Raw genomic sequence first — 12,756 nt, forward strand, 5'->3', positions numbered from 1 at the left:
TTCTTTTTGAACTGACGTAAAAATAAGAGCTCATCCTTTTAGAATTTTGTTTTTACTTGTAGGGTCCTTTGAAAATGGAAACGTTTTTGTTCACATAAGTGAAAAAAAAGTCTTAATAGTATATGTTATTTTATTTTACACAAATTACAGCTATAATGGAAAGGGCACTAACCGTGAAGTTAAATTTGGATTTGAATGTTGGCTTCATGAGTCAATACCTGTGTGGCTTTAAACAACTTACTCAGCCTCATAGTCTTCTCGTGTGTGAAATAAGATTATCAGTCTCACAAGACTGCTGAGGTGATTACCAAGGAAACGCAGGTGAAGATGCCTAGAGCATAGCCTGCTTATGTGAATAATGAATTTTTAAAACCACTGGGTAAATAAAAGATGTCACTGTGGTACATGGATTTTTTTATACTTTATAAACATTCTCTGAGCTCGCATTACGTCTAAGGCACTGCCCTAGATGCTTTGAAAAGCAAGAAAAGGAAGGTACCTGCCCTCCGGAAGTTTAAAATTTAGAGATAAAGACAAATGCAAAAAAAATGGAATGCCATGTGTAATAGAGATGCAAAGTGAATAATAGTAATACTTGGTAAAATCTGTAAAGACTTCACATAATATAGTTGGAGCATGAACTAGGTCTCAAATTTTGAGTGGGATACAATCCATATAGACAAAACACGTGCAGAAAAAAAAAATCTTACTTTTTGAATCTAAGAAATCACTATTAAACGGTCTATTGGCAAGCATGAGTAAAACCCAAAGACTGAGGCTACAGATATGACCAGCTTGGAGACTTTAGACAAAATATTCCATTTGTCTTCTTCTGAATCTATGCCTCTTTGTGTAAATTATATGTGCAGTATTCCTCTGAGCCAATTTTGTTTTGCATGAGCCAGTAATGGGCCAGTGAACATTTATTTCAAGAAAAACAGAAGTATGGTGTTTATTATAGCATCCTCTGTAGCCAGAATAACTAAATAAAAGAATGAGTATCTCCAGAGATCTCCCCCACCCCCCAAAAAATAACTAGAAGTTTCAGTAAGCTACTGAATCAGAGAGGCAAAAAGGCACTATTTTAATTTTTCATATTTTATTTATTATTGTAGAAGAAATCCAATTAATATGCAATTTGTTTCAATAACTGAGAAAAACATCCCATTATGGAATAAAGGTAGTATTATAAACTGGTGTCGTTTTTCATACAGGATGACTACCAACCAGAACTCAGTAAGGCAAATATTTTTCCAGAAGTAGGGATGTGTTTGAGCCAAATCCACTCTCATTTTTTAAATCCATGTTCTTTGTGACCTAACAGTGAAGTTTGATTCATTGAAGCCACTAAGTGATGAAACACTATGAAATTTACTAGCAATTATTTCTCCATTTAATTTTATGAATTTCCTCCAGTTTCACTAATATCATCAGCAAATTTTTCACACAGACACACACACACACTATGTGGTGTTATTAACAGCTTTATTAATCTGTATCTCATTAGTCTTAGCCTTGGCTAATTGTAAACATCAAATCCATCATAAAATAATAAGTACTCAGCCAGGCACATGTGGTCCCAGCTACTTAGGAGGCTGAGGTGGGAAGATCACTTGAGCCTGGTTGGTTGAGGATGCAGTGAGCCATGATTGCACCACTGCACTCCAGCCTGGGCAACAGAAAAAAATCCTGTCTCAAAAATACTAAGAAGAAGAAGAGGTATTCAAATATCTCTGAAAGCAATTCTGAAATACTTACCCCAAAGTGATATTTGAACAACTGGAAAAAGTGTGTGTTCTCCAAAATAACTCCTTTTAAAAATACAACCTTAAGATTAAATACATAAATATATGCTGTATTTGTCTAATTTTTGGCAGGAACACATCACATCACTTCATGGTTTCTTATAACACTCTTTGCATTACCAGCTGCATATACCAACTCTTTGTGAATAGGGACTGAATCTTCCATGTGTAGCTCTGCCATTGTACGGTAAGTCCTCACCTGATGTCATGGATAGGTTCTTGGAATCTGCACCTTTAAGGAAAACAATGTATAACAAAATCAATTTTACCCATAGGCTAGTTGATATACGTAAGAGTTATGTTCCTACATCTCTCATCACAAAAACATCACCGAAGTTCTAAATAGACCAAAGACTTCCAATATTAAAATTGAAATAAATGTGAGCTATACATACATTGAAGAAAGATTAGTAAAAACAAGATAAGTGTTTACCAACTTATTCCACTTCAGGGTTACAGGTGGCCTCAGAGCCTATCCCAGCAGCTCAGGCACAAGGTGGCAACTGACCTTGGCCAGGATGCCTGTCCACCACAGGGTGCACTCATACAATACTCACTCACTCACTCACTCACTCACTCACTCACTCCCTCCCTCCCTCACACTGGGACCATGGGGACAAGCAGATGAACCTAATGCGCACATCAATGGAATGTGGGAGAATACAGGAGTACTTGGAGAAAACCCACACAGACATAAAGAGAACATGCAAACTCCACACAGTATCACTGCCGGAGATTCTTTTTTTTTTTTTTCCTCATCAATTTATAACCAAACAATGTTGATCAAAATGACGTAACTAGAGGACCTTCTGTGTATAAGGATTGAGGACTATTGTAAAACTCTAAAGAAACAAGGGGGAAAAAAATGGGCCCTTGGCCTAATTAGCATGGGACAGCAAAGAAATGAGCTTTCAAAAGATTAAATATAAACATAAGCATTTCCTCTTTCAGCTGAAATGAGTATGGTGAATATTGTGTAATGATCAGTGTCACAGCAGTCCCAGCCATGTCCCAACCATGTATTTTCTATTTCAGGGAGGAAGCTATTGTAACTCTGCAGGGTCTCACTCACTTTGATTTATGCTGTGCTCTCAGCTCCTGAAAAATTCTTTAGAACAACCTGAGAAGTGACTGTAATCTGATTGTTCTCTGGGAGCAGTAGGGATTCTATGATGGCACTAGTAGTGTTCTGTTTTTTTCTAATGAGTTCTAGTAATGAATGGGGAGTTGGTACCCAAACTATTGAGAATCTGGCTGGTATTTTGCTCAAAAAGGGTGTACTCTCCTTAGAAAATATACTCTGTACTCTAGAGGATTTCTCCTTCAGAGCCATTTCATGATGGGGAAGCAGACTTTTAGAGATTTGCTTTTTAAAAATATGTGTGTATATATATTTTTTAACCAAGAAGAAAACAATTCTGCAAACATTGCTGAAATGTGTAAAGACACCTTCATGGTATATCCTATTTTTTACTTGGAGAAAGAAATAATATCAAGAAGCAAAAGTTATTATTCATGTTTTTCTGCATTTTTATTAATAAATTTTGTAACTAATTCTAAAGTATCTGGCTAACAGAGAACAATATTTGTGCATTTAATCAAATGCACAAATATTTGATTATTTAATCAAAGATGACAAAAACTCAACTAGCTGAAAATATTTCATATCTATGCTTGTTTTTATATTTACTCATTATCTACATGATTTTTATTTAGTGTGCCTTGATATATATTTTTCTTCAACAATGTGTAAGATTCTATCTCATAAGTCTTGTTCTCTTCTTAGTTCTAAGCATTTACTACTATTTAGATTTGTGATGAGGAAATGAGGCTGAAAATGATATGACACAGTGAAAAAGGAACTAATAGTGTCAGCCCATAAAACTATCTCAGGAAATGAGGTGGAACCTCATAGAGATAACCTCGTTAAGAGGAGTCAGAAAAATGTACATTGCACATCCACATAATTGGAAATAGGCTGTGATAGGAAACTAGGAATTACCAAAATGATTGCAGATGTCCTTGACTCATAAGGCTGATTTTCATTTAGCACACCTTCTCATATACAGGTGGAGCAAAGCAATCAATTGTCATAGAATCACAGAATTTTTAATTTTCAATTGAGTTCTGAGTTCTTCCAAAGCAGCCACCGTACAATGGGACCATGTTTATGCTACATGGTTTATAGGTACCTGCATTTAATAGCTTAGACTGAGCTTTGCAGTTCAGCTGTATATGTTTCAAAAAGTTTAGAACCATATTAATATGTATGTCTTTGGTTAATATATGAAATATTTTGAAATATTGTTATACGCTGCAAACAATTGATTAGTTACAAGCCCAGCCAAAGTGCTAGGCCTTGAACTTTGAGAAATAGAAAGTACTACACAAAGCATGATTTCTAATTATGGGGTGCATGAAATTTGGTTGTGTCCCCCAAACAAATTATTTCAGTGGTAAGATAGTGCTGGAAAATAAGTATATACATACCAAATTAACTGGTACAAGAAATTAGGGAAAGAATTTAAGTTTTTTGGCTCAGTACCAGATAAATTTGGATTCAAGCTTCTTCTTTGCCACTAAGTTGCTGTATTGCCACAGTAAGTTCCTTACCTTTGCTGTGTCTCACTTTTTTCATTTACAAAACGGGGAATAATATAGCTATAATAGCATAGGATAGCTTTAAGGATGAAATACAATACCGAGAAATACAGTTTTGCAATACTTGGCACTCTGTAAATGGCAGCTATTTACAGCAACTCATGAAAGATTATTTATAAGTTTGGTGACTTAATGGAGATGGGGTTTTACTGGAACATTGAAATATATTATGAATTTCATAAATGTGAAACTCATAGGAAAAAAGTCAAAATAGGAAGCCTCGAACCTAGAAATAGTACCAGATGTGAAAACTTGTTAAATAATTTTTATTTAAAGCTGGTTTCCAAGAAATATAAAATTTCCAAGCAATGTTTTTCCACCTGTTGCAATCTAGTCAAGTGTAAAATTTTCACCTCAAGTAAAACATCACTCATAAGCACATCTTGGGGGAAAAATACTTGTTAGCAAAATTCATTTAAGAAAATATTAACACTTCAGGAACAAAAAAGCCTGGGTAAATAACTGGTTATAAGACTTAACTTTATTAATATATTTCTATAAATTTATTGGAATATTGTTGGACAATTGTGGTCATTATGGTAATGGTACAGAATGTACATGTAATAAATTTTGATGACATCGCAATGTTAATAAAATACCTAACAACGTTGACAGGGAGAAGAGGGAAATTAGGAAGCAATGTGGGAGGTTCAATATCCTCATCTTTTACATAATGTTTGTATTTGAATCCATCTAAAATTGAAAAATTGTTTATAAGATATAATGACTTAATGTTAATGTTTTTATTTCTTCTCTTAACCTGAAAGTGACACTTTAAAATGTCAATACTTACAGTGCTTAAAGTGGATTTGTTAAAAATCAGTACATTTTTTCAACATCACTTCATTAATTTTTTTTCATTTAATCTAAGTAGTATTTATCCCAAATTGCATTTAGTAAAAGATATTTCTTGCTTCATATCCAGATCTAGGACACAGCTACTTTGGCCCATAAGGAAAAATTCATTTGGCCGTCTGCTTAAGTTTTTGGCACTTCATTCAATATATTTCTGTTACTTTAATATAAAAGTTTTTAAAAAGCAATTCTATCTTTTAAAAATATTTATTCTCCTAATCATGTTTTCATTTGATGTTTATAATTTTTAATTCTGAGTAGTGAGACTGAGGGTTTCTAAAAATTATCTGTAGTTTTCTTCATTGTTTACATTCTTTGAGTAAACATATGTCTTTTATACTCACCAAAAAACACACACACACACATTCTAACAAGGCATGAACTGTTTTCTATTTTTCACTTGAAGATTAGTCATTTTTCTTCAAATTCCATGGAATTTTGTTAGACTTTTATGATACAATGTATCATCTTCTTCCTTGAATCCATTGTGTATACGTATTTAATTTACAATAGTAAAATTATATTACACATGTTAGCCGTTTATTTTAACTTTCTTCAAAAAGTAACATGACATTTAGTTATTTGAATCTAGGAAAGTTAAATTCTATAAAATTACAATAAGTGTAGGCTACAATTTTAATCAAAATGCACATAATTTTTAAAGTGAATAGTTTAATTATCATTTAATAATATCAAAGTTAATCTCAAAAATTTGATTAAAAACACATTATCAAATAATTAAATGCTTAGAGCTAAAAATTGAGAACATTTGGTGCTTATTCAACAAAATTCCAAGTTTCATTGTTTTAGAATATTAAAAATCGTGTTTTCATGTGTTATAGTATACACCAAAAATACTTATTTCCCATATACTCTCAATTTTTTTCATTGAACATGTTCTTTTCACAGGGAAACATTCCCTTTAGTTTTTCAGCTTTTTTGTTTGTTTGGTTTTGTTGTTTGGTTTTGTTTTTTGTTTTGTTTTTGTTTTTCTGAGACGGAGTCTCACTCTGTCTCCCAGGCGGGAGTGCAGTGGTGCAGTCTCCACTCACGGCAACCTCCACCTCCTGGGTTCAAGCAATTCTCTGTCTCAGCCTCCCGAGTAGCTGGGATTACAGGCGCCCACCACCACGCCCGGCTACTTTTGGTATTTTTCGTACAGATGGCGTTTCACCATCCTGGCCAGGCATTTCGTGAACTCCTGATCTTGTGATCCACCCACCTCGCCTCCCAAAGTGCTGGGATTACTGGCGTGAGCCACCGCCCCCGGCCAGTTTTTCAGCTTTTTACTCCTCCATTTTGACCTTCCGTGAATGAGACTCACTCTCTCAAATCCATATCCATTGAAGTCTCTTCAGATCAGTGGTGTCTTAATATTGTTTCTAAACCTCCTAATCTCATTAGAAATATAAGGGTAATAAGAGGATGGAGAGGAAGTTTCCGACTGAGATCAGGTGGTTAGAAAATAGTTACCTCTTCCTGGATTGTCTAGAAAGTAATTTACGTTGAAACTCGCACATACATTTTAAGCCCAATATAATACTCTGTACTATAGAACTAAATTCCACTTGCGTGAATTACAACTACTGAGAGAGAATACCTAGAACCGAATTCAATATATCATATTGTATTAGGCCGTTCTTACATTGCTTTAAAGAAATACCTGAGACTGAGTAATTTATAAGGAAAAGAGGTTTAATTGGCTCACAGTTCTGCAGGCTGTACAAGCATGGTGCTGGCATCTCTTGGCTTTTGGGGAAGCCTCAGGAAGCATTTATTCACAGCAGAAGGTGAAGCAGGAGGTTGCCCGTCACATGGCGAAAACAGGAGCAAGAGAGATGACTGGCGGGCAGGTTGTCACACACTTTTAAACTACTAAATCTCGTGAGAACTCACTCACTATTGTGAGGACAGCATCAAGCCATGAGGTATCCACCCCTATGACCCCAACGCCTCCCATTAGGCCCCACCTCCAACACTGGAGCCCACATTTCAACAGGAGATTTGGAGGGGACACATATTCAAATCATATCACATATTTAGCGTCATTTCAAGTTAATTTTGTGAAGGAATTTGTGTAATCAAAATCCTGCCAGTCTATTGAAAACTTTGAAAAGTCGAAGTCAGAAATTATTTCAAATCGAATACACTACTATTAATAAAATTACACTGCACAAAATCTATGGTTTTGAGAGCTTATAGCCTAGAAGAAGCAGGAAACCACGTAGGTTTTTGTGGGGGTCTACACATAAGATTGCCTCAAATACCCTGAGCATGCAATGTGGAGTCCAAAGCCTTCCCAGATTTCTTCAAACTCCTAGCATGTTATGCTGCCTTGATTCTTTCCCCCATGTGAGCTCTATAGCTGTGCGTTGTTGAAGAAATCAGAGCTGAGTAGCAGTTAAAATGGAAAAACAAAAAAAACCCAGACTTTATTTAAAAACTATTGCAATAGGGGAAAAGAGATTTCAGTATTGAATAGAACTGAGCTCAGTTCCAAATATATCATGGATAAGTGGGGATTTATATTCAAGGGAGGCAGTCTGGAATGAAAAATTACTGAGATTAAGCATCAAGAGTAGAGGGTTGATTCTGGTTTAATATACCTAACAGGAATCTTGCTGAAGGCAGGCTGGAGTGACCAGCCATCACTTGGGGGATGAGGAATTTGATCAGACATTGAGGTTCATCAGATATCACATTTAGGACGTTTTCTTTAAACTGACTTAGCAAGATTCTCATTACAATTGAGTGATGCCAAGACTAACAGAGACCCCCAAATGTAGATGTCTAGTTGGGAACAGGATTCACAGGTGCCGAACTAAAGTTTGACTAACTAAAACTTAAACTGAAGAGAGCCATTGTCAGCATGTTATTTTTTTTTCACCCAGACAAACCTAAATAACTCATTCTTTTCCCCAACTTCTATAAAAAAAAATCACTTATAACAACCTTTTAACAAATGTTAATGAAAAATTGTGACTAGTAAGGGGAGGTCACAGAGAGGAATTTTGCCTCATTTTCCATTCTTGTTCCTTGTTAGGTATCTTCCCAAATTATTTCCTGGAGATCCAAATCCTTCTTCCTTTACTTGCAAGAACAGTTCTATTTCCATATTTGCACAGCCACTCCCATTCAGGTTTACTCTCAAGAAAACTGAGGAAACCCTGTTAATAGGACCCATTATTCTCAGAAAGCCAGTAGAATTAGAAATGGAAATTTTCTGCTGACGTGCAATTGATGCTGTAGTAGCATGTGCTACAGTTCCGTGCCCAGGATAAAATAGAGGGCACCATGTTGGGAGTGGACAGTCCTACTAAAGGCATCATGAATGGCTCCATGTAAAAGATGACTCTGGAGCTAAAGCTTGAAAGATAACATCTTGTATAGACGGTCGCCATGATCATAAGGTGAAGTCAAGAGATGGGAGTTGAGGAGGAAATATTCAAACAGATGGAACAAAATGAACAATGACACAGAAGTTCCTTTTAGCTGGAGTGTGTGACTGTGAGTCACGGTGTAGGAATAGAGAGGCTCAGGAGAGAGAAAATAAAATATGAAACTATCCAGGGAGTAAGGAATCAGGTCATGAAGAATATTGTATATCTGTTAAAATATTTGAGTTGAATCCCTTGAGTCATCTATTCTGAGTCACAGGAATATGTTACAGCATGCATTGAAAATGTTTAATATTGAAGAACCAAAGTCTGACTTTTTCTATCCTATGTGATTCCTGCATTGCCTATATGATACTCTCACTCAGTTGGATTGCAATATACTTTTTTGAGTGGGCAAGAATGGGATGTAATTAAAGCTAGCATACTGGGACATGTTCATAAGCCTAGATGCTCCCAAGGATGTTTCTTTCTTCTGAAAACCATGTTTCATGTGGGCCAGAGTACAAAACAAATATTGAGAAGCATTGTTTTGGGCATTAAGGATTTTAAGCATGGAAGGGCAAATAATATTTGATCTTTTAGAAGGATCATTTTGGTAGACAAATAGGATCTACTTGGCAGCTTATCAGATATAACTCAAAGAAAAATTGGCAAAGGTCTGTATTAAGTAGTAACAACAGAAATTAAAAGAAGGCAAATTACATGAAAACTATTGTGAGGCTAGGAACGAGGGAATGGGACTGAAGGGCTCGTTAACTGCGGAAGGGTAAGGAAGACAATGTGCTCAGTAATCCACCCTTTAATGTTGGCTGTGTTTAAAGCCATTGAAACCACTTTGGAAGAACTCTTGGGAGACATGAGGCAGAGGGTGAGAAATGCCTGAAGACCTTTAGGAGAATTTAGAGCATTTAGTTCTGTCCAAAGTAAAATCCAAGGAGCAACGCTCCAAAGTTAAGTCAATGCCATGTTCTGGGTAAATGCCTCATGAACGGAAATCCTAAGATTTCTGTACAATTTCCTCTTAGGACTCTTAAAGTCTTTAATTAACTAGAGATCTAGTATCAACTGCACTAAAACTAAGCTACTTCAAACATACTGAATTATCCATTGAAACCCACACTCCAGCAGGTGTCTTGTTAGTCAAACTGTCACCCTGCCTAGCTGACATTTCAAACTCAAAAAGTCTTGAGGCACTCAGATTGTCAAGGTGCATGTGACTCAAAAGCCACATGAGAAAAAGTACTCAAATGTGGGAAGCCTAGGGATGTTGGATCTGGAGGGATGTGGTTTTGTGAATCCTGGCCACCTAATTGGCTATGAATAAGTGAAATATGATCCATATATTGATGTACCTATTGATATGAGATAGTAAAAATAATTTTTTCAACTTCACGTGCAAAACAAGTGTTTTCTTTCAGTCTGTACTCAGTCTCAGGCATTAATAAATTTGAAATTTTTCTGTCATTTAAGGATACCTATTCGCAGAGGTGGGAAGATGGTTTCTAGAACTAAATTTTAAACATACAATTACTCATGCTCTTCAGTATAGTAAGTTTATGTGGCTGTTTATTCTGTCTTCTAAAAGGAGAGTATTCTTTATTCCTTTTTCAAAACCTAAATTCTTATGTAACTAGAAGCAAAGATTATATTTTGATTACCTTGTGGTAAGAATTTAAATAGAAATGACAGTTATTACAATTTATTTTGGCTTAGACAAGTTATACTATTTCTAAATCTGGCCACTTTCAAAGAAATGAAAAAATCTTAATACATACAGATACACATTATTTCTCACTGTCACATTGAAAAATGTACATTTTTTTCAAAATTTCCAATTTACTCTAAGGCCAGAATAAAAAAAAATCATGCATATAAAAAGGGCATTGTTCGAAAGGTATAAATTCTGGAAAACTCCTAAAACAGTCTCTGACTGTCCAAGGTAACTTTTCAGGGTAAACTGCCATTATTAGGTTAAGTTAAAATGTGTCTCAAAAAAATTAGTAGATTAAATTACATTTAGTTAACCAAGAAATCTGTATTTATTGAAAACATGCTGTTTGCCTCAGTTCAGGTTTACATTATAGCTCAACTGGCATTCTAAATTACCCACTCTTGCAACTTGTATTGCTTCTTTTTTGTTTCATTCTTTACATTGTTATAAAGTGTTACCACTGGAACTCAAATCAAATTGTATCACTCTCTTACTTAGTAACCTTGTGGCTACCACCTCCAACTCTATCTTTTGCATCTCATATACAATCAGCTGTGGAAACACTGCAGTCCCACTTCCCAGATCGCTTATTCATTCATAGATGTGGTTGGGGGAAATTTACACCCTCTTATCTAGGACCAGCTCTTCCCCCCACACCTTCTTCTCCAAGGTAATTCTTATGAGTCTGTCTGATATATTTATTTCTGTTTTGTTTTCCTGATGCAAAACATTAAATATAATAAGTATAATGATTGAAAGAATCTGCATAATTCACAGAATAAGAATTCCACTAATTTAGTTGTACTTCTAAGAATAAAAATATAGACATATCACAATCATCATGTTTTTTGGTCTACTTCAAATAGACAACTTCATATTTATTAATCAGTGAGGTAGAATCCAAACTGAATTCAATTCTTAGTTTTGAGTTCTTAGTCCTTCAAATTCCTTTTACAAATATTTTGATATTAGTATATTTATATTCATTTAGCTAGAAATTATGGTCCAGTCCTGTTCTCATTAATTAATTAACTTAATTAATAGGAATGTCTGAGTTCATGTCAGGGCCTAGAAGACTCATCTGCTGTGGGAAGGCATGAATTCCCCAATGTGTCTGGGCATACTGACAACAAACAGGGAGAGCTGCCCTTCTTAATAAAGTTTGATTGACAGCTGTATTGTGCTGAGTGTGATTATATGGTGCCTAGTCCTGACGGGTTCAGTCCAAAATAATGCACCATGTGGATCACAAGCCTGCTTTAAATGTTCTACCATTTTATAATTGTCAAGAGAGAGAATTTAGATAGAATGTCAGTCAAGTTTTTCTGTTTACCTCTGCAGCCATGAGCTTTGGTTAGATAATCTCTGCGTTATCTATATCACCTGGATTTTTATGAAGCTCATAATCCAAATTCAATTATTTTTATGTTTTTCTAATATGATTTTAGGGTCCCTTATACAGAAAAAAGCTGTAGTAGCAGGTACCATTTCTAATTCATATGAATGAAACGAATCCCACCAATATGGTACCCTTTTTCAGTTTCTATAAAATAATCTCCATTCCTTAAAAAAATACTTACTGTTTGTCAAGAAGATATATATTATTAATTTGATTCTCCCATTTTTTTACTATTGGTTTTGGTATCATAGTCTCTTATTTAAATAATAGATGCAAACACAGTAGAGACCAACAGATAAAATGAACTCAACCAAATTTTCTCTCTGCAATTGACACACAAGTAAGGCGTTTGTTTAACAGGCCTTGTGTGTATGTTTTGTAGTAATTTAAACACACAGAATATACTTTCATTTTCATTTGTCTGGAAAACAATGTTGAAACCTTTTTTTTTTTTTTTTTTTTTTTTTTTGCCTCCTGAGTAGCTGGGATTACAGGCGCCACAACACCCAGTTAATTTTTTGTATTTTTTGTAGAGAGGGGGTTTCATCATGTTGGCCAGGTTGGTCTTCAACTCCTGACTTCAGGTGATCCACCCACCTCTGCCTCCCAAAGTGCAGAGATTACAGGTATGAGCCACTGTGCCCGGCCACAATGTTGAAACATTAACATGAATTATTACAATCACTTTCTCATTGATTTTCCCACCAGGTGCAAGGAACCATCTTCCCAGCTCCCAATTTCAATCCCATAATGGATGCCCAAATGCTAGGAGGAGCACTCCAAGGATTTGGTAAGTCTGATTATTTCTACCATCTTTTATTGTGATTATTTTTTGCTTTACCTTGTTTTAAGACTATACTGTGGGTATAAAATAGTTGATGTCTTACAAAACACAGATACAGATTAGACAAAAAAAAAAAAAACTGA

General features: G+C 35.2%; 1 protein-coding gene across 2 annotated transcripts in view; it reads left to right on the plus strand.

The window, feature by feature from the left end:
* The window catches only part of ANXA10 (annexin A10), a 95,200-nt gene that overhangs the window by 23,010 nt on the left and 59,434 nt on the right, over window positions 1–12,756 (plus strand). For both annotated transcript variants that reach the window (XM_011531571.3, NM_007193.5), the window contains exon 2: window positions 12,538–12,619. In XM_011531571.3, the coding sequence (XP_011529873.1) occupies window positions 12,538–12,619 (82 nt within the window). The remainder of the gene's footprint in view (window positions 1–12,537; window positions 12,620–12,756) is intronic.

Source organism: Homo sapiens, chromosome 4 (assembly GCF_000001405.40).
Source record: "Homo sapiens chromosome 4, GRCh38.p14 Primary Assembly".
NCBI lineage: Eukaryota > Metazoa > Chordata > Mammalia > Primates > Hominidae > Homo > Homo sapiens.